General features: G+C 45.2%; 1 protein-coding gene across 1 annotated transcript in view, besides 2 other annotated features; it reads right to left on the bottom strand.

Annotated features, from left to right (window-relative positions):
• The window catches only part of MTA3 (metastasis associated 1 family member 3), a 262,837-nt gene that overhangs the window by 206,927 nt on the left and 33,413 nt on the right, over positions 1 to 22,497 (bottom strand). The gene's annotated exons all lie outside the window — the stretch shown is intronic.
• Positions 2,136 to 2,641: an enhancer, noted in NCBI's record as "H3K27ac-H3K4me1 hESC enhancer chr2:42774519-42775024 (GRCh37/hg19 assembly coordinates)". NCBI's record gives its function as "activates a minimal SCP1, AML or CMV promoter by ChIP-STARR-seq in naive H9 embryonic stem cells {active_cell/tissue: H9 hESC(naive)}" and the evidence as "EXISTENCE:reporter gene assay evidence [ECO:0000049][PMID:30033119]".
• Positions 3,537 to 4,423: an enhancer, noted in NCBI's record as "OCT4-NANOG-H3K27ac hESC enhancer chr2:42772737-42773623 (GRCh37/hg19 assembly coordinates)". NCBI's record gives its function as "activates a minimal SCP1, AML or CMV promoter by ChIP-STARR-seq in naive H9 embryonic stem cells {active_cell/tissue: H9 hESC(naive)}" and the evidence as "EXISTENCE:reporter gene assay evidence [ECO:0000049][PMID:30033119]".

Here is a 22,497-nt window from a genome sequence, read left to right as displayed (position 1 = left end):
TGGAGCCAATATTAGGTAAAATAAGTGTTCCTTGAACACAAGTGCTGTGATACAGCAACAATCAATCTGATCAGCAAGAAGGCTACTAAGTGACTAATGAGCAGGTACAGCCTGGATACACTGGAGGAAGGGAGGATGCATGTGCCAGGTGGGACGGAGTTGGGTGGCACAGGATTTCATCTTACAGTGGGACGGAGTTGGGTGGCCCAAGATTTCATGTTACTCAGAGCTACACACAATTTAAAACTTCTGAATTATTTGTTTCTGGAATTTTCCATTATATACATATATAATATATAATTTAAATATATAATATATAATATGTATATATAATATATTATATATTATATATGTATATGTATATAATATATTATATATTATATATGTATATGTATATAATATATTATATATTATATATGTATATGTATATAATATATTATATATTATATATGTATATGTATATAATATATATTATGTAATATATGTATATTATATATTATATCATATATATTATATATGATATAATATATAATTTAAATATATAATATATAATATGTATATATAATATATTATATGTATACGTATATATTATATATTATATAATATATATTATATACGTATATATAATATATACATATATTTTATATACGTATATACGTATATATGTAATATATAATGTATACGTATACGTATATAATATATTATATATTATATACGTGTACATATACATTATATATTACATATATACGTACACGTATATAATATATAATATATTATATACGTATACATATATAATATATACAAATATAATATATTATATACATATATATATTATATATATATTTTAAGATGGAGTTTTGCTCTTGTTGCCCAGGCTGGAGTGCAATGGCACGATCTCGGCTCACTGCAAGCTCCGCCTCCCAGGTTCAAGCAATTCTCCTGTCTCAGCCTCCGAGTAGCTGGGATTACAGGCATGCACGACCACGCCCAGCTAATTTTGTATTTTTAGTAGAAATGGGGTTTCTCCATGTTGGTCACGCTGGTCTTGATCTCCTGACCTCAGGTGATCTGCCTGCCTCAGCCTCCCAAAGTGCTGGGATTACAGGCGTGAGCCACCGTGCCCGCTGATATATATATATATATTATATATATATATATATTATATATATATATTATATATATATATATATTATATATATATATATATATTTTTTTTTGAGACAGGGTCTCACTCTGTCACCCAGGCTGCAGTGCCATGGGGCAATCACAGCTCACTGCAGCCTCAACCTCCCCAGCTCAGGTGATCCTCCCATCTCAGCCTCCTGGGTAGCTGGAACCCCAGGTGTGTGCCACCACACCTGGCTTAATTTTTGTGGAGATAGAGTTTTCTGTAGAGATGGCGTTTTTGCCATGTTGCCCAGGCTGGTCTTGAACTCCCGGGCTCAAGCAATCCTCTCGCCTCAGCCTTCCAAAGTGCTGGAATTACAGGCGTGAGCCACCATGCCCAGCCCATTTAATATTTGCATTTTAATTTTATGTATATACGTATATTTTGAGACGGAGTCTTGCTTTGCTGCCCAGGCTGGGGTGCAGTGGAGCAATTTCGGCTCACTGCAACCTCTGCCTCCCAGGCTCAAGCAATTCTTGTGCCTCAGCCTCCTGAGTAGCTGGGATCGCAGGTGAGTACCACCAAGCTCCGCTAATTTTTTGTATTTTTTGTAGAGACAGGGTTTTGCCATGTTGGCCTGGCTGGTCTCGAATTCCTGACCTCAAGCAATCTGCCCCTCTCAGCCTCCCAAAGTGCTGGGATTCCAGGCATGAGCCAGCGCGCCCGGCCCCCTTTAATATTTTTAGACCTCAGGTTAACTAAAACCTCAGAAAACAAAACCACGGATAAGAGGGGATGATTGTAATGTCACGGGTTATTTGGGGTTGCCTCTCTACTGTATGGGTGGCCTCCAAACTGGGCTGACCATCAGGACCACAGGGCAGCTTATCTTATTTTTCATAGTAGCTTTAAAGCTAACTAAATATGGCCTTAGAAGGACTCCGTACTTCTTTATTTGAGTCCTCGTGGACGAACTGCAACCTAGCTTAATAGATAGACAAGATTGAAAACCTAATTTAGGAGTATGCACCTGTAACAATAGCTAAGTCAGGACCACAGGGCAGTTTATCTTATTTTTCTTAGTCGCGTTAAAGCGAACTAAATATGGCCTTAGAAAGACTCTGTACTTCTTTATTTGAGTCCTCGTGGACGAACTGCAACCTAGCTTAATAGACAAGATTGAAAACCTAATTTAGGAGTATGCGCCTGTAACAATAGCTAAGTCTTGGCCAGTCCCAGAAGCCATACTTCAACTGCTGAGTGTTCAAATAAGACAAATGCCTCCAGGCGCGGGGGTTGACGCCTGTAATCCCAGCGCTTTGAGAGGCCTTGGCGGGCGGATCACTTGAGGTCAGGAGTTCAAGACTAGCCTGGCCAACATGGTGAAACCCTGACTCTACTAAAAATACAAAAATTAGCCGGGCGCGTTGGCGCGTGCCTGTAATCCCAGCTACTACTTACGAGGCTGAGGCACGAGAATCGCTTGAACCCAGGAGGTGGAGGTTGCAGTGAGCAGAGATTGCGCCACTGCACTCCGGCCTGGGCGACAGAGCAAGATTCAGTCTCAGAAATAATAATAAGGCAAACGCAGAGCTGTAACCAAGCCAGCTGTTCTGTACCTCACGTCCTATTTCTGTTCATCACTTCCTTTTTTTGTCTGTAAATCTTACACCACGTGGCTGGAGTCTCTGAATCTGCTGTGATTCTGCCGGCTGCCCGATTGGCGAATTGTTCATTTAATTCAGCTGAGATTTTTATCAGTAGACTTCCAGACTCCACCCTAGACCTACAAAATCTGTCTCTGGGGGAGGGGCCAGGGAATCTGTATTTTATAAAGTTCCTCCATAGACTGTAGTCATCAGAGAGTAGTGGGGGGAACCTCTGCAGTTTAAAGTCCACATCCTCGTGAAGCCTGGCAGATTAGCCCCTGCTAGCTCCCTACGCAGTTTCTTACCACCTCTGTAAAGCTCTAGCAATAAGATCCCTGTGACAAGTGTCTCATTCTGCCACATTGTATCGTTATTTGCCTGCATGTCCCACCCTGATCACATTCATCCTCCTGTCTGCCCACATGTCCTATTTCCTACCAAAATGTGAGACATTGAGAATAGAGACCCCTTCTGTTACCGCCACAGATTATATGAACACGGATGCTGGGTGCAGTCTTGCAACATGCGTAAGGAATAAAACCAGGAAATGCCTCTAAATAGAGTGCATGTAGGAAACTCTAAGTAATTTTTTTCAGTTCTTTTTTGTTTGACCAGGAAAAAAGATGACCAACTAGGAATGACCAACCTAGAAACGCCTCTAGTTTGACTAGAAAAAAGTGACCAACTAGAAATGCCTCTAGATGGAGTGCACATAGGAAACTGCAAGTAATTTTTTTCAGTTCTTTTTGGTTTGATTAGAAAAAGGATGACCAAAGTTGCCAGGTTAGATGGCAGGGGATGACCACCCCTGGATTTGATTATACACATTTTACTGAAAGAAACAGGTCCAGGGACACTCAGGGTCAGAAAACCAAGTAGAGCAGACAAGGACATCCTAATTCTGGAACCGAGATTGCCAGCATCCTACACAGGCTTCTTCCTCAGTGTGGGGCCAGGCCACACCCTCCACTAATTTCTCCTGGGGCCTTTGTTTGAGTGGAGCCACTTCATTAGCATGTAACAATGGAGAAATCCGAGGTGCCCTGTGTTTTCCATTTATATTTTAAGTGCCAGCAGTCACCAGGCGCCTCCATTGTTATTGCTGTTAGCTGAAGTTAATGGTTTCTTATTAAAAATCTAAGGTCCTCCCTCCCTCCTTCCCTTCCCTACCAGGTTATCTAAAGAGTGAATTCCCGGATCAGCCAATTGCCCTTTCAGGAGTGGCTTAGGGAAGCTGCTTTTAAATAGTACCATTATCATTGCGATTAGTGTTAACGCGGAGCCTGTCTTTCATTTCTTGAAATCTTTCTGGGAAGGCACGTTCCAGATACCCATCTTAAGAGAATTTCAATAACCAGAATTTCCAGTCTGAAGGCCTTCCAACTGCAGCGTGGCACAGTAGGAAGTATGGAGATCTCAGGTCAGGGCTTAATCAGGAATCTTAACCTGAACCTCAGTCTGAAATCCATGAGCCTCAATGTCCATCCATGTATGTAAGCTATCTGCTTTTGTATCCCAAGCTTCTTTAAGGTACACATCATGCAATCTATTGAAAACGATGTGTCAACTTTAAACCCTCTTGAAAACCTGCCATGTGCCAGGCACTAAACTAGAAGCTTTACACATTTTATCTAATGAGGTAGGCCTTATACCCTTATTTTACACATAAGAAACCAGATTCCTCTGCTGTCCCACCCCCGAAACACTCACACATTTTTAACTCCAACTCATTGATTCTATCTGGGAACCTCCCACTCTCCCTTCCATCCCTCAAACATAGCCTTCCTTGCCCTAGTTCTTACCTAGAGCATTTCTCTCCCGAGTTACTGACAATGCCTTGTGTTTTCTTAGGTTCCTTTTTTTTTCTTCTTCTAATTTTATTTTTGAGACAAGGTTTCTCTCTGTCGCTCAGGCTGGAATGCAGTGGTATGATCACGGCTCACTGCAGCCTCAGCCTCCCAGGCTCAAGTGATCCTCTCACCCCAGCCTCCCAAGTAGCTGCGAGTACAGGCGTGTGCCACCATACCCAGCTAATTTTTGTACTTTTGGTAGAGACAGGGTCTCACTATGTTGCCCAGGCTGGCCTCAAACTCCTGGGCTCAAGTGATCCTCCTGCCTTGGCCTCCCAAAGTGCTGAGATTACAAGCATGAGCAACCACGCCTGGTTGGGATTCAAAATCTTAATGGTCTCATGACTGAGCTGTTTTCTGCAGCTCTCATCACCTGGACTTGGAATGCTGGAGGCCACTAAACTTTGTGAGTCCTAAACAAACAATTATGTTGTTCAAAGAATGGGCTGTTTAAGGTCAGATATTAGCTGGTTGTCAAAATGCCAGCTGTGAAGTTGTCCTTACAGGGTTAACAAAAATTCTAGACAGAAATATAGTTAAAATTAAGCATTAATCAGGCTGTACTTGACCCACTTCCTTGTAACTGAAAGCCATATAGCACGAGATACTGACCATTTGCATCCTCCTCATTCTTCCTATAGATAGAATTTCTGATGTCAGAATCATAAGGTTTTGTTTAATAATTGCTTAAAGTAGCAAGGAATATCACTGTTTTTTTTAAAAAAATGCTGGGCAAAGTGGCTCACGACTGTAATCCCAGCACTTTGGGAGGCCGAGGTGGCAATCACCTGAGGTCAGGAGTTTGAGACCAGCCTGGCCAACACTTGCTCTGAGTGACAGAGCAAGATCCTGTCTCAAAGAAAAAAAAAAAAAAAGTTATTTTTGGTATTTTAGTGCCTAAGTACATCAAAGCATGACTATAACTATGTTTTTTTTTTTGTTTTTGTTTTTGTTTTTTTTTGAGATGGAGTCTTGCTCTGTTGCCCAAGCTGGCAACAGAGTACAGTGGCGCAATCTTGGCTCACCACAACCTCTGCCTCCTGGGTTCGAGCGATTCTCCTGCCTCAGCCTCCTGAGTAGCTGGGACTATAGGCACGTGCCACCATGCCTAGCTAATTTTTGTATTTTTAGTAGAGACGAGGTTTCACTGTGTTGGTCAGGCTGGTCTCAAACTCCTGACCTTGTGATCTGCCTGCTTTGGCCTCCCAAACTGCTGGGATTACAGGCGTGAGCCACCGTGCCAGGCCAGACTGTAACTATCTTAGAAGCATATACTGTTATGTGATAGCAGGAGACATCTGGACATTCTGCTGTCATAGGAGTTTGTCCTTGCAGGCGAACTAAACTGCTTCCTTAGTCATAAACATCTTATGACCATGGGGAGGACTGGCAAGGAATGTGTCTTTCTAGTTTAAAGATGGAGTTGATTTTAAAATGGTGTCACCTTGGCTCGGCTATCTTCCTGTTTCTCTAACAGGAGGACCACTTGAGCCCAAGAGTTTGAGACAAGCCTAGGCAATATAGTGAGACCCCTGTCTCTAATTAAAAACAAATGAACAAAATATATATATATATTTTTTAATGTATGTATATGTTAGATACATAATTTTTTAAAATGTTGCTTAAAGACCAGGCATAGCGGCTCATGCCTGTAATCCCAGCACTTTAGGAGGCCAAGGAGGGAGGACTGCTTGAGGCCAGATGTTTGAAACCAGCCTGGGCAACAGAGTAAGACCCTGTCTGTACAAAAAAAAAAAAAAAAAAATCAGTAACCTCCCAAGTGAGTATAGTCCCAGTCCCTTGGGAGGATGAGGTGGGAGGATTGCTTGAGTCCAGGAGTTCCAGGCTGTTGCAATGAGCTATAATTGCCACTGCTCTCCAGCCTGGGTGACACAGTGAGACCCCGTCTCAAACAAACAAACATAAAAAGAACTGTTGGCTGGGAGCAGTGGCTCACGCCTGTAAACCCACCACTTTGGGAGGCCGAGGTAGGTGGATCACGAGGTCAGGAGTTCGAGACCAGCCTGACCAACATAGTGAAACCCCACCTCTACTAAAAATACAAAAATTAGCTGGGCATGGTGGTGTGCACCTGTAATCCCAGCTACTCAGGAGGCTGAAGCAGGAGAATCGCTTGAACCAGGGAGGCAGAGTTTGCAGTGAGCTGAGATTGCGCCACTGCTCTCCAGCCTGGGCGACAGAGGGAGACTCTGTCTCAAAAAACAAAAAAAATTGTTTAAGATGTTTTTCAGATCCTGAATTCCAGCAAACAGTTGATGCCACCCAGTTTAAAGACTCCCACAGAGAAATGGAATCAGCATGAGAATACAGTTTCTTCATCTCCCTGTCCTAAGAATTTGTCCTGAGCTCTTGGACCAATCAACACTCTCCACACTTCTTGCCTACCCCAAAACTCTTAAAAACCCCAGCCCCAAACTCCTCGGGGAGACTTAATAGTTTGGGTTGGGGATTGATGTGTTTCTGGTTGTATGAAGGATAGTTGTATTATGTTAGGCGTAAATATGACCTTATTATTGTCTTTATTTGAAGATTATGGGCTGGGTGCAGTGGGTCACGCCTGTAATCCCAGCACTTTGGGAGGCTGAGGTGGACAGGTCACTTAAGGTCAGGTGTTTGAGACCAGCCTGGCCAACATGGTGAAGCCCTGTCTCTACTAAAAATACAAAAAAAAAATTAGCTGGGTGAGGTGGCAGGCACCTGTAATCCCAGCTACTCAGGAGGCTGAGGTGGGAGGATTGCTTGAACCCGGGAGGTGGAGGTTGCAGTGAGCTAAGGTCATGCCACTACACTCTTGCCTGGGCAACAGAGTGAGACTCCGTCTCAAAATAAATAAATAAATAAATAAAATAAAAGATTATGTATGATTTCAGGAGATGTGTAAGGGTTTAAGCTAACAAGGGGTGTACGTGTGACGGTTAATATTGAGTGTCAACTTGATTGAATATATATATTCCATTGGTTCTGTCCCTCTAAAGAACCCTGACTAATATATCCTTGGTATTCAGTACCAGTCTTTTCTTCACATATGGGTATCTATAACAAGAAGTTCTCCATAGGATTATAACGTAACAGAAAGCCCACGACTTGCATTGTCTGATAACTCACCCACATTCCCATCCCCTTCGCAGAGATGGGCTCAGGGCCATGTGTATTATTTGGGACCCCGCTCCCCTGTCCCTAGCTGACTGGCGTACGGGAAGACCCCTGACTCCTATGGGTCAGTTACTCAAGAGTCTGGGAATGGAGTGGAGACTTGTGAGTCTATACTTGATCTAGGCATAGAGCAAACCCATTTGCAAAGAAAGCAGAATAAAGCAGGGATTATCAGTGTAGTTCCAGAAAGGAGACAGCACACACACTGAAAAGCCCAGAAAACTGCTGCCTTGGCTCCTCACAACCCTCTAGTTCTAGATTTCAATCCCTCCTGAGGCTGGTTTTTGGGCCCATGGGTTCAGTATTCCTGGCCTGAGCAGGCTTCCATTGTTCACAGCCACAGAGCCCTCTCTAATTGACAGTAGCCATCTGGACAAGAGACTGAAGGGAAGAAGTGGTTTGAATAGGTATTACTGAGAAGACTTGGGAAATAACCTAAATCCCAGCAAGAGGCTGGAGCATATCCTTAGGACTGGAAGGGATATACTGACAGCTATAACCTAATCAATTGCTACTGTGACTGAAACAAGGTTACTGAATGGCACAGGACTCTACAGATGCCCCTCAACTGATGATGGGGTTACCACTGGGTAAATCCATGGTAAGTCAAAAACACACTTAATACACCTCATCTACCCAGTGTCACAGCTAAGCCTAGCCTACCTTAAACACACTCAGAACACATAGTAGTCTACAGTTGGGCAAAATCATCTGACACAAAGCCTGTTTTATAATAAAGTGATGACTATCTCATGGAATGTATTGAGAACAGTACACTGTAGAGTACATTACAGGTTGTGTATCCTCATGATTGTGTGGCTGACCAGGAGCTACAGCTTCCTGCCACTGCCCATCATCACAAAAGAATATCACAATAAGCCTGGGAAAAGACCAAAATTCAAAATTTGGGCTGGGCGCAGTGGCTCACGCCTGTAATCCCAGCACTCTGGGAGGCCGAGGCGGGTGGATCACCTGAGGTCGGGAGTTCGAGACCAGCCTGACCAACACGGAGAAACCCCATCTCTACTAAAAATACAAAATTAGCCGGGCATGGTGGTGCATGCCTGTAATCCCAGCTACTAGAAAGGCTGAGGCAGGAGAATCACTTGAACCTGGGAGGCGGAGGTTGCGGTGAGCTGAGATTGCACCACTGCACTCCAGCCTGGGCAACAAGAGCAAAACTCCATCTCAAAAAAAAAAAAAAAAATTTGAAGTAAGGTTTCCACTGAATGTGTATGGCTTTTGTACCATCATGAAGTCGAAAAATCTTAAGTTGAACCATCATAAGTCAGGGACCATGTGTAGTACAAAATTCGTGCATTGAATTGTTTACTGAATGGCTAACATTAAAAGGCAAATTATCAATTTGGGAAAAAACTTTTTTTTTTTAATTTTTTTTTTTTTGAGACAGGGTCTTGCTCTGCCACCCAGGCTGGAGTGCAATAGCACGATCACAGCTCACTGCAACCACAAACTCTTGGGATCAAGTGATTCTTCTACCTCAGCCTTCCAAGTAGGTAGGACTACAGGCATGCACCACCATGCCTGGCTAATTTTTAAATTTTTTGTAGAGACAAGGTCTTACTATGTTGCCCAGGCTGGTCTTGAACGCCTGGCCTCAAGCGATCCTCCTGCCTCGGCCTTCCAAAGGCCTGGGATTAGAGGTGTGAGCTACTGTGCCCAGCTGGGGAAAGAATATTAATGACAAAGGGAAAATACTTTTTCAAAATATAGACAGATCATTTTCCCCTGTCAAGGGTATTTACAGCCTGGGTATTGTGGCTTATGTCTAATCCCAACTCTTTGGGAGGCCAAGGCAGGAGGATTGCTTGAGACCAGGAGTTCAAGACCAGCTTGGGCAACATAGAAGACCCCATCTCTACAAAAAATGTTTTAAATTAGCTGGGTGTGGTGGCATGTGCCTGTAGTTCTACCTACTCAGGAGGCTAAGGCAGGAGAGTCACTTGAGCTTAAGAGTTTGAGGCTGCAGTGAGCTATGATCCTGCCATTGCACCACACCCTGAGTGACAGAGTGAGACCCTGTCTACAAAAAAAAAAAAAAAAAAAATCTACAAAGTTAATGCCCACTATTGGCTGTAATGGGCCCCCACCTCCTTCACCTGACTCAACTCCTGGTGATTGGACAGGGCCTGTGATGCACTGGATCCATCAGATCCCTCCCCCGTTATTTAAAAATTTCCAGCCAGAGAGAGGGAGGAAGGTGCAGCTTCTTTCTGGTGGCAGAGGAGTTTCTAGCTGAGCAGAAGAAGCCATTCTACAGCAGGAAGAGAGATATGTTCTCAGGAAACCACAGGCCATTTCCTTAAGGAATTTAGAGTGTAGCTTATCAAGAGCTTTAAAATGCTATCCAGGAGTGGTGGCTCATGCCTATAACCCTAGCACCTTGTGAGGTCAAGGAGGCAGAAACTCTTGAGTCCAGGAGTTCAAGACCAGCCTGGGCAACATAGTGAGACCTCGTCTCTATAAAAATTAGCTGGGCATGGTGGCACATGACTGTAGTCCCAGCTACTCAGGAGGCTGAGGTGGGAGGATCACTTGAGTCCAGGCAGTTGAGGCTGCAGTGAGCTGAGATCACACCACTGCATTCTAGCCCGGGAGACAAAGCAAGACCCTGTCTCAAAAAAAAAAAAAAAAAAAAAAGCTTTACAATTGATAATGGTTTTGCTGTGTCCCCACCCAAATCTCATCTTGAATTGTAGGTCCCATAATCCCCGCATGTGGTGAGAGGGACCTGGTGGGAGGTGATTTAATCGTGGGGGCAGTTTCCCCCATGCTATTCTCGTGATAGTAAGTTCTCACGAGATCTGATGATTTTATAAGGGGCTTCCCCCTTTGCTCAGCTCTCATTCTTCTCTCTCCTGCTGCCCTGTGAAGAAGGACTTGTTTTTTTCCCCTTCCATGACTGTAAGTTTCCTGAAGCCTCCCCAGCCCTGCGGAACTGTAAGTCAATTAAACCTCTTTCCTTTATAAATTATCCAGTCTCGGGTATGTCCTTATAGCAGTATGAGAATGGACTAATACACAATATTCTTTTACCCCGTAATTCTACTCCTGACAAACTAAGGAACTAACCTAAAGAAATAATTTTAGGCACAGAGAGGGAAAAAAGCTTCATACATTGAAACACTTATAACATTTTTTTCAGGCCGGGAGCGGTGGCTCACGCCTGTAATCCCAGCACTTTGGGAGGCCGAGGCGGGTGGATCATGAGGTCAGGAGATCGAGACCATCCTGGCTAACAAGGTGAAACCCCGTCTCTACTAAAAATACAAAAAATTAGCCGGGCACGGTGGCGGGCGCCTGTAGTCCCAGCTACTCGGGAGGCTGAGGCAGGAGAATGGCGTGAACCCGGGAAGCGGAGCTTGCAGTGAGCCGAGATTGCGCCACTGCAGTCCGCAGTCCGACCTGGGCGACAAGGCGAGACTCCGTCTCAAAAAAAACAAAAAAAAACAAAAAAAACATTTTTTTCTTTTTCTTTTCTTTTCTTTTTCTTTTTTTTTTTTTTTTTAGAAAGAGTCATCATATTCTGTCGCCCAGGCTGGAATGCAGTGGCACGATCTGGGCTCACTGCAATCTCCATCTCCCAGGTTCAAGTGAGTCTCCTGCATCAGCCTCCTGAGTAGCAGGAGTTACAGGTGCCCACTACCACGCCCAGCTAATTTTTGTAGTTTTAGTAGAGATGGCATTTCACCATGTTGGCCAGGCTGGTCTCGAACTCCTCACCTCAGGTGATCTGCTTGCCTTGGCCTCCCAAAGTGCTGGGATTACAGGCATGAGCCACCGCACCCGGCCTAACATTTATCATATTTTTGCCAAACTTTTTATCCTAAAAAAGCTCAAATCTACAGAAAAGTTACAAGAACAAGATAATGAACACCCATATAGCTATCACCCATACTTACCGATTGGCCAATATGCTCATCTTTCCATTTATTGATATCTACACATTTATTATTGTCAAAATTATTTTATTTATTTATTTTTCGAGACAGAGTCTCGCTGTGTCGCCCAGGCTGGAGTCCAGTGGCGTGATCTCAGCTCACTGCAAGCTCCACCTCCCGGGTTCACGCCATTCTCCTGCCTCAGCCTCCTGAGTAGCTGGGACTACAGGTGCCCGCCACCATACCTGTCTGATTTTTTGTATTTTTTAGTAGAGACGGGGTTTCACCGTGTTAGCCAGGATGGTCTCAATCTCCTGACCTCGTGATCTGCCTGCCTCGGCCACCCAAAGTGCTGGGATTACAGGCATGAGCCACTGTGCCTGGCCTATTGTCAAAATTATCATTGTTATTTGCTGAACTACCCGGAAGTCAGGTACAGATATCATGATACTCCACCCCCTATCACCTCAACATATATCTCCTAAGAAGAAAGACACTTTCCTACAAACTCTAAAAAGAATGACCACATCCAGGAATTTCAACATTCCATAGTTTCATCCAACATATAGCCCCCATTAAAATGCTCCAATTTCCTGAATAATGTCCCTGATAGGTGATATTCTTTTTGATTTATGATCAATAAATGATTACGCAATGCATTTCGTTGTCATAGCTCCTCAGCCTCTTCTAATCCAGAACCATTTCCCAGCACTTCCCTGTCTTTAACATTGATACTATTTTATTTTATTTTGTTTATTTATTTATTTTTTTGAGATGGAGTTTCACTCTTGTCTTCCAGGCTGGAGTGCAATGGCTTGATCTCAGCTCACTGCAACCTCCGCTTCCCGGGTTCAAGCGATTCTCCTGTCTCAGCCTCCCGAGTAGTGGGGATTACAGGCACCCACCACTATGCCCAGCTAATTTTTGTATTTTTAGTAGAGATGAAGTTTTACCATGTTTGGCCAGGCTGGTCTCGAACCCCTGACCTCAGGTGATCTGCCCGCCTTGGCCTCCCAAAGTGCTGGGATTACAGGTGTGAGCCACTGCACCTGGCCAACATTGATAACTTTTAAAGAGTTCAGGTAGCTTGTTCCCCAACTTGGACTTGACTGGTTGTTTTTTAGTGACCACATTCAGGCCAATATCTTTAGAAGGAACACGACAGAGGTGTGTCTATGCTGGGATGAGTTTACAGAGTCCTAACAGGTGTAGAATGTGGAGGAGGTCAGCTGTACAGGGATGGGCATAACCTGGGGCTTACACTAAGGGTTAAGGCTGTATCACTGTGACAATGTTCTAGCCACATGCTACAATATATTGAAGACCTTGGATGTGTTCTACAGAGATTTTGGGATCCACTGTATTCCCTTTTAGAAAACCTTTTTTCCTTACACCCAGGTGATCCGGGATACCTGTGTTGGGGTCAAACATGGGACATGAGGGACCACTATATACTCCCTTTTTTTTTTTTTTTTTTTGAGATGGGGTCTCACTCTGTTGCCCAGGCTGGAGTGCAGTGGCACAATCTTGGCTCACTGCAAGCTCTGCCTCCCGGGTTCACGCCATTCTCCTGCCTCAGCCTCCTGAGTAGCTGGGACTACAGGCGCCTGCTACCACGCCCGGCTAATTTTTTGTATTTTTAGTAGAGACGGGGTTTCACCGTGTTAGCCAGGATGGCCTGCATCTCCTGACCTCGTGATCCGCCTGCCTCAGCCTCCCAAAGTGCTGGGATTACAGGCGTGAGCCACCACGCCCAGCCTCCACTATATACTCCTAATCACTCAATTATCACTGAAGCAGGATTGCCTCGGAAAGGGTCTCTAACACCTCCATTTTCTTTTTTTCTTTTTCCTTTATTTTTGAGATGGAGTTTCGATCTTGTTGCCCAGGCTGGAGTGCAATGGCGAGATCTCAGCTCACTGCAACCTCCGCCTCCCAGGTTCAAGCAATTCTCCTGCCTCAGTCTCCCAAGTAGCTAGAATTACAGGCATGTGCCACCAGGCCCAGCTAATTTTTTGTATTCTTATTAGAGACGGGGTTTCTTCATATTGGCCAGGCTGGTCTCAAACTCCCGACCTCAGGTGATCCACCCATCTCAGCCTCCCAAAGTGCTGGGATTACAGGTGTGAGCAACTGCGCCCAGCCTAACCCCTCGATTTTCATATGGCCCGGGGGAGACCGTTGTGGGGTAAATGCTCTATGGCTTTTTTTTTTTTTGAGAGAGAGAGTCTCACTGTTGCCCAGGCTGGAGGGCACTGGCATGAACATAGCTTACTGCAGCCTCGAACTCCCAGACTCAAGCAATCTTCCTGCCTCAACTTCCTGAGTAGCTGTGACAACAGATCTGCCTCACCACATCTGGGTAATTTTTTAATATTTTTGTAGAGACGGGATCTCACTATAATGCCCAGGCTGGTCTCAAACTCCTGGGCTCATGGGATCCTCCTGGCTTGACCTCCCAAAGTGCTAGGATTACAGGCATGAGCCACTGTGCCCAGCCAGTGGCTCCATTTTTATCTCCAAGCTCATGCTGGAAGCTGTAGGACCACCCCCAGGATCCTTTCAGAGTGACAGGTCAACACTTACCCAAGGGTTATTATGCATGTGTTGCTTACTCCAACATTCATTCTCCTCTTCCTTCTTAACAACATAACCCTGATTTTATTTAAGGCAGCTATTTAACTAGCTAAAAGGCACTTCCCACCCTCTCTAGAAGCTAGATATACCATCTGACCAACTTCTAGCCAATGAAATGCAAGTAGAAGTATTACATGGTATTTCTGGGTAGTCTCCTTAAAAGGAAGGAAGGGAGTTGGGTGCAGTGGCTCAGGCCTGTGATTCCAACACTTTGGGAGGCCAAGAGTTCAAGATCAGCCTGTGCAACATGGTGAGATCCCATCTCCACACACAAAAAAATTTTTAATAAAAAAAAAGTTTGTCTGTTTTTTTTTTGACAAAGTCTTGCTCTGTTGCCCAGGCTGGAGTGCAATGGCACCATCTTGGCTCACTGCAATCTCCGCCTCCCAGGTTCAAGTGATCCTCCTGCCTCAGCCTCCCGAGTAGCTGGGATTACAGGCATGTGCCACCATGCCTGGCTAATTTTTGTATTTTTAGTAGAGACGGGGTTTTACCATGTTGGCCAGGCTGGTCTCGAACTCCTGACCTCAGGTGATTCACCTGCCTCTGCCTCCCAAAGTGCTGGGATTACAGGCGTGAGCCACCGCGCCCAGCCTGTACTGGGTCTTATTCCTTGCCCTTTCTCCTTTCTACTGCTTGAAATATGGGATTCTAATAGATAACAAGCCAATGACAGCTCCATTGTCATCCAGGATCTAGATTCCTTCAATCTTGTTTGTCTGCTTTCATTCATTCATTGTCTCAGGTCCAAGAAGGCTGTTAGAAATCCATGCAACAGGCCAGGTGCAGTGGCTCACGCCAGTAAAACCAGCACTTTGGGAGGCCAAGGCTAGCGGATCACTTGAGCTCAGGATTCAAGACCAGCCTAGGCAACACAGTGAGACCCCATTTCTAAAAAAAGGAATCCACACAACGCTAATAGTTAGGTTCAGTGGCATATAATAGATGAAGTCCAAAATAACAGTAGAATAAACAAGACAGAAGTTTATTTCCCTCAAAACTATTTTTTTCCTTAGGAGAGAAATAAAGTTCTGAGTTGTTTATGCCAGTGTTATTTTGGGGTTTGTCCATTTTATACAATTTTTCTTTTTCTTTTTCTTCTTTTTTTTAGAGTTTCACTCATCGCCCAGGCTGGAGTGCGGTGGCTCGATCTTGGCTCACTGCAACCTCTGCCTCCCGGGTTCAAGCGATTCTCCTCCCTCAGCCTCCCGAATAGCTGGAACTACAGGTGCTCACCACCACTCCTGGCTAATTTTTTGTATTTTTAGTAGAGACGGGGTTTTGCCGTGTTGGCCAGGCTGGTCTTGAACTCCTGACCTCAGGTGATCCACCCACCTCGGCCTCCCAAGTGCTGGGATTATAGGCTTGAGCCACGGCACCCAGCCTCATTTTATACAATTAAAGCTAATCTTCCATCAAACAACCTAGGGTGGGCACTGAAGTGTATTGGAGAAATCAGTGATGGGGCCAGTTCCAGGCAGGCTGTAGTGAAGATTCCTGCTCTATGCAAATCTGCTCCCTACCTTCAGAATCCTACCGAACATGTTAGGATCTTCCACCAAGAAAAGTGGTTAGAGAGACTCCATTTCAGCTGCTTCTGAGTGGGTGTTTTTAACCTCTGCCTCATCCAAAGGGAAGGTTTCAGGTTTTCTAAGAAAAAGTCCCTCCTTCTTGATTTTCCAGCCTCAGGAGATCTCGCTAGGGCCCAGAGTCTAAACCACCATGCCCAATAATGTGAACGAGATGCAACTTAAACTTGTCTGGTAGCCACAACAGAAAAAGTAAAAAGAAAGAGAGAAAATCGGCTGCTCTGTCTATGGAATAGCCATTCTTTCGTTTCTTTATTTTCCTTTTTTTTTTTTTTTTTTGAGACGGAGTCTCGCTCTGTCACCCAGGCTGGAGTGCAGTGGCACGATCTCAGCTCACTGCACCCTCGGCCTCTTGGGTTCAAGCGATTCTCCTGCCTCAGCCTCCCGAGTATCTGGGACTACAGGCGCCCGCCACTACGCCCTGCTAATTTTTGTATTTTTAGTAGAGACGGGGTTTCACTGTGTTAGCCAGGATGGTCTCGATCTCCTAACCTCGTGATCCGCCCACCTCGGCCTCCCAAAGTGCTGGGATTACAGGCGTGAGCCACTGCGCCAGGCCTTTTCTTTATTTTCCTAAAAAAAAAAAAAAAGAAAAGAAAAGAAAGAAAGAAAGGAAAAGAAACAGAATCTTCCTTTCGGCTGGAACCGCCATCTTCCAGTAACTCGCCAAAATGACGAGCACCCAAAATGTGTTCTCTAGGCCTTTTAGAAAACATGGAGTTGGCCAGGCGCTGTTGCTCACACCTGTAATCCCAGCACTTTGGGAGGCCAAGGCGGGCGGATCTCCTGAGGTCAGGAGTTCGAGACTAGCCTGACCAACATGGTAAAACCCCATCTCTACTAAAAATAGAAAAATTAGCCGGGCATGGTGGCGGGCGCAGTGGCAGGCACCTGTAATCCCAGCAACTCAGGAGGCTGAGGGAGGAGAATCACTTGAACCCAGGAGGTGGAGGTTGCAGTGAGCCATTGCACTCCAGCCTGGGCGACAAGAGCAAGACTCCATCTCAAAAAAAAAAAAAAAAAAAAAGAATGCCCCACAAGTGTTACCATGGCAAAAGTGGAAGTCTGCAATGCCACCCAGCATGCTGTTGGCATTGCTGTAAACAAACAAGGGCAAGGTTCTTGCTAAGAGAATTAATGTGCATATTGAGCACATTAAGCACTCTCTGAGCTGAGAGAGCTTCCTGAAGCGCGTGAAGGAAAATGGTCAGGAAAAAAAGAAGCCAAAGAGAAAGGTGCCTGGGTTCAACTGAAGTGCCAGCCAGCTCCACCCAGAGAAGCACACTGTGAGAGAACCAATGGGAAGGAGCCCGAGCTGCTGGAACCCATTCCCTATGAGTTCATGCATAATAGGTGTTTAAAAAAAAAAAAACCTCTGGATTGTAAAAATGTTTCTCTTCATTGAGTAGAAGTGTGGTGTCCTCTCCCCCAAAGAAATATTTAAACCAAATTTTAATTGTGTACTAATTTATTGTGTAATGTCTTTACTATTCAAATTTAGTTTATGTCTTGCTGAAAGATGTGAGGTGGCTTATTGTGCAACAAATTACTGAATTGGTTAGAAAACAGCCAGATATACTTTTTTTCTTTTTTTGTTTTTTGAGATGGCGTCTCACTGTGTCGCCCAGGCTGGAGTGCAGAGGCGCAGTCTTGGCTCACTGCAACCTCTGCCTTCCGGGTAGAAGGGCTTCTCCTGCCTCAGCCTCCCAGGTAGTTGGGATTACAGTCACCCGCCATGACACCTGGCTAATTTTTGTGTTTTTAGTAGAGATGGGGTTCACCATGTTGATCAGGCTAGTCTTGAACTACTGACCTCAAGTGATCCACCCATCTCAACCTCTCAAAGTGCTGCAATTACAGGTATGAGCCACTGCACACGGCCTAGGCCAGATATTATGTACGAAATATTTGTACTTGTTTGAAGATAGTCCTTCTAAATCATCATGGAAGAAATAAAATAATTTACAAAAATAAGTGGAACGTTATCTATTGGATTATGGCTAAGCTCAGGGAAAGTTTAATACTCATAATTGTAGCATTAAAAAGCTGGATTTTGGTCGGGCGTGGTGGCTCACACCTATAATCCCAACACTTTGGGAGGCCGAGGTGGGCAGATCATGAGGTCAGGAGATCGAGACCATCCTAGCTAACACAGTGAAATACCATCTCTACTAAAAATACAAAAAATTAGCTGGGTGTGGTGGCAGGCACCTGTAGTCCCAGCTACTCGGGAGGCTGAGGCGGGAGAATGGCGTGAACCCAGGAGGCGGAGCTTGCAGTGAGCCGAGATTGTGCCACTGCACTCCAGCCTGGGTGACAGAGCGAGACTCCGTCTCAAAAAAAACAAAAAGCTGGATTTTGGCCGGGCCCAGTGGCTCACTTCTGTAATGCCAGCACTTTGGGAGGCTGATGTGGACAGATCACAAGGTCAGGAGTTTGAGACCAGCCTGGCCAATATGGTGAAACCTCATCTCTACTAAAAATACCAAAATTAGCTGGGTGTGGTGGCACACGCCTGTAGTCCCACCTACTCGGGAGGCTGAGGCAGGAGAATTGCTTGAACCCGGGAGGCAGAGGTTGCGGTGAGCCAAGATTGGGCCACTGCACTCTAGCCTGGGCGATAGAGCAAGAGTCCTTCTCAAAAAAAAAAAAAAAAAAAAAAAAAGAGTTTGCTTCTGAATCCTACTAAAAAAATAGATTGTTTAAAGCATCCACTCTTTGTGTGTTACATAGTTACATACTAGTTTGGAATTGCTTTGACCATGCATGAAAAAGGGCTCAGAAAATAATAGTGGTTATAGCATTTGTCTTAGGCCATTGTCTGGCAATAACAATATACCACAGACCCGGGTAAACAGTAGAAGCTTATGTGGGGTTCTGGAGGCTGTGAGGTCCCAAGGTAAAGGTGCTGGCAGGTTTGCTGTCTTATGAAAGTCCGGCTTACTTACCAACAGGCTCCACCTCTTAATACTGCCACATGGGGCCGGGCATGGTAGCTCACACATGTAATCCCAACACTTTTGGAGGCCCAGGTGAGCAGATCACCTGAGGTCAGGAGTTCAGGACCAGCCTGGCCAACATGGCGAGACGCCATCTCTACTAAAAATACAAAAATTAGCCAGCTGTGGTGTCGCGCACCTGTGGTCCCAGATACTCGGGGAGCTGAGGCAGGAGAATTGCTTAAACCTGGGAGGTGGAGGTTGTAGTGAGCTGAGATTGCGCCATTGCACTCTAGCCTGGGTGATGAAGTGAGACTCTGTCTCAAAAAAACAAACAAACAAAAAATACTACCACAATGGGGATTAAGTTTCTTTTTTCTTTTTTTCAGACAGAGTTTCACTCTTGTCGCCCAGGCTGGAGTGCAACGGTGTGATCTCGGCTCACCGCAACCTCCGCCTCCCAGGTTCAAGCGATTCTCCTGCCTCAGCCTCCCGAGTAGCTGGGATTATAGGCATGCGCCACTACGCCCAGCTAATTTTTTGTATTTTTAGTAGAGAGGGGGTTTCTCCATGTTGGTCAGACTGGTCTCAAACTCCCGACCTCAGGTGATCTGCCCGCCTCGGCCTCCCAAATTGTTGGATTACAGGCATGAGCCACCGCTCCCAGCCCTTTTTTTTTTCCTTTGAGACGGAGTCTCGCTCTGTCGCCCAGGCTGGAGTGCAGTGGCGCCATCTCGGCTCACTGCAAGCTCCGCCTCCTGGGTTCACGCCATTCTCCAGCCTCAGCCTCCCAAGTAGCTGGGACTACATGCGCCCGCCACCAAGCCTGGCTAATTTTTTGTATTTTTAGTAGAGACGGTTTCACCATGTTAGCCAGGACGGTCTCAATCTCCTGACCTCATGATCCGCCTGTCTTGGCCTCCCAAAGTGCTGGGATTACAGGCAGGAGCCACCATGCCGGCAATGGTTGTAATCTTTTTTTTTTTTGAGATGGAGTTTTGCTCTTTTGCCCAAGCTGGAGTGCAGTGGTATGATCTTGGCTCACTGCAACCTCTGCCCTCCGGTTTCAAGCTATTCTCCTGCCTCAGCCTCCCGAGTAGCTGGGATTACAGGCGCCCACCACCACGCCCGGCTAATTTTTGTATTTTCAGTAGAGACTGGTTTCACCATGTTGGCCAGGCTGGTCTCGAACTCCTGACCTCGTGATCCTCCTGCCTTGGCCTCCCAAAGTGCTGGGATTACAGGCGTGAGCCACCGCGCCTGTCCGATTGTAATCTTAATGAGAAGTTTTTGCCTCTCTGACCGACTCATCTGGATTGATGCATTTTTATGGAGTGCCGTTAAACCTTTTAGATTTTCTTTGCCTCCTGGTCCTTATGGTTAAGAACCTGCCCTACACCATTCTGTGCCCAGCATTAACAACTTCAGTTGTAGGGCAGGGAAATTCAGATGGATGAAGTTCATCAGATGCTCCTCAAATACCTCACTGCTGGTCACATTGCCTGTCTCACACCGCTGCTACCCAAATGCCAAGAGTTAGGGCCTTGCAAAGGAAACAGAAAACACGTGGGAGGCACAATCACCTGAGGAGTGAGGTTATGCTTGGTGCCAATCACTGAAGAAACAGTAAGTCCTTAGATTGGAAATAAAAACGAGGGTACAGGACAAGGTGAGGTGCAGAAGGTCTTTCTCTCTTGGCTCTCAGTTGCTTAAACAGTAGGTGGTTGTCTTATGGCCCTTGGCACCTAAGGACAGGTGAGGACCTGGAGCATGATGGACCAAGACCAGGGGCTGGTGAAGCTGTGCCAATTCCTTTGGTCTAGAACAGTGGTCTTCAAACACTGCCCTGCGAAGCTCCCAGATTATAGAGATCCTCTGGGGACTGCTTAGAATAGGATAGTAAAAGAGAGTAAAGAGGCCTAGCTGGTCTTGCCCTTTACTCTCTAAGCTCCCCCTAACCCAAGAGAGTTCCTTTTTATCTATTTATACATCAAGATTTTGCAAGCCATATTGTTTTTTTAAATGGCTCCACTGCTTAAAACAAACAAACAAAAAAACCCAGTAAATTAAGTTTAGCCTAAAGCTGCCTCCTACATATTTTAAGTTCTGCCTAAAGGTTTCTTTTTCACATGGTAAACTGTAACTTAACGGGATGTGTAAACAGGCTACAAACTACTCCAGTACCAATCTCCAAGTTTTGCCAAACAAAGGTAACCAAATGTTTGAACCCTATTCAAATAAGGCAAACGCTGCAGGGTAACCAATCCAGCTGTTTCTGTGTGTCACTTTCTTTTTCTGTCCATAAATTCTCTGACCACACAGCAGCATGGAGTTGCTCTGTACCTCTTCTTGTTCTGGGGGTTGACCAAGTCACAAGTCGTTCTTTGCTCAATTAAACTCTGTTAAATTTAATTTGTCTAAAGTCTTTCTTTTAACAAAATGAACAAACAAAACTGAAAGTGGCTGAAATCAATGAAGAAACTGATGCTCAGAAAGGGCAGGCAATTTTCCGAAGATCACACATCTCTTCAGTAGTAAAGCCAAGATTCAAATGACCAGGTCTGTCTCTAAAAACTGTGCTCCTTTACAAAAGAAACAAGTAATTTCCCTGGCTCTCCGCAAAGACACATGCCATTTAGAAATTATGAGACCGTCCAGGCGCGGTGGCTCATGCCTGTAATCCCAGCACTTTGGGAGGCCGAGGCGGGTGGATCACTTGAGGCCAGGGGTTCGAGACCAACCTGGCCAACATGACGAAACTCCATCTCTACTAAAAATACAAAAATTAGCCGGGTGTGGTGGCAGGTGCCTGTAATCCCAGCTACTTGGGAGGCTGAGGCAGGAGAATAGCTTGGACCTGGGAGGCGGAGGCTGCAGGAGCCGAGATCACGCCACCGCACTCCACCCTGGGCAACAGAGCAAGACTCTATTTCCAAAAAAAAAAGGGGGCCGGGCACGGTGGCTCACATCTGTAATCCCAGCACTTAGGGAGGCCGAGGCGGGCAGATCCCGAGGTCAGGAGATTGAGATCATCCTGGGTAACACGGTGAAACCCTGTCTCTACTAAAAATACAAAAAAATTAGCTGGGCATGGTGGCACGTGCCTGTAGTCCCAGCTATTCGGGAGGCTGAGGCAAGAGAATCACTTGAACCCGGGAGGTGGAGACTGCAGTGAACTGAGATTGCACCACTGTACTGGTCCAGTCTGGGTGACAGAGTGAGATTCCGTCTCAAAAAAGAAAAGAAAAAGAAGTCATAAGACCAAGGAGAGATCTCATGCTATCTCATGGAGGACAAAACCCTTACTATGTTCGAGAAATAGCACTTGTTTTTGTTTTTTTTTTTTTAAAGACATGATCCTATTATATTGACCAGGCTGGCCTCACCCTTCTGGGCTCAAGTGACCCTCCTACCTCAGTGTCTTGAGTAGCTGAAACATATGCAAATGCCATCATGCCTGATACTCCTGCTTTTTCTTGATGCCATTCATCAGCACCTAATATATATTTAATTAAAAAAATTATTAAACTTTATTTAACACTTTTGAGGAGTACTGGTCAGGTATTCTGTAGATAATGTAGATAAATGTCTGTATTTGCTTTTTAAAGTTATCATCTCCCTCCACCCCTAGAATATAAGGGCCAAAGCT

Source organism: Homo sapiens, chromosome 2 (assembly GCF_000001405.40).
Source record: "Homo sapiens chromosome 2, GRCh38.p14 Primary Assembly".
Lineage (NCBI taxonomy): Eukaryota > Metazoa > Chordata > Mammalia > Primates > Hominidae > Homo > Homo sapiens.
The sequence above is the reverse complement of the archived record's forward strand: the minus strand, read 5'-3'. Positions and strand labels throughout refer to the sequence as shown.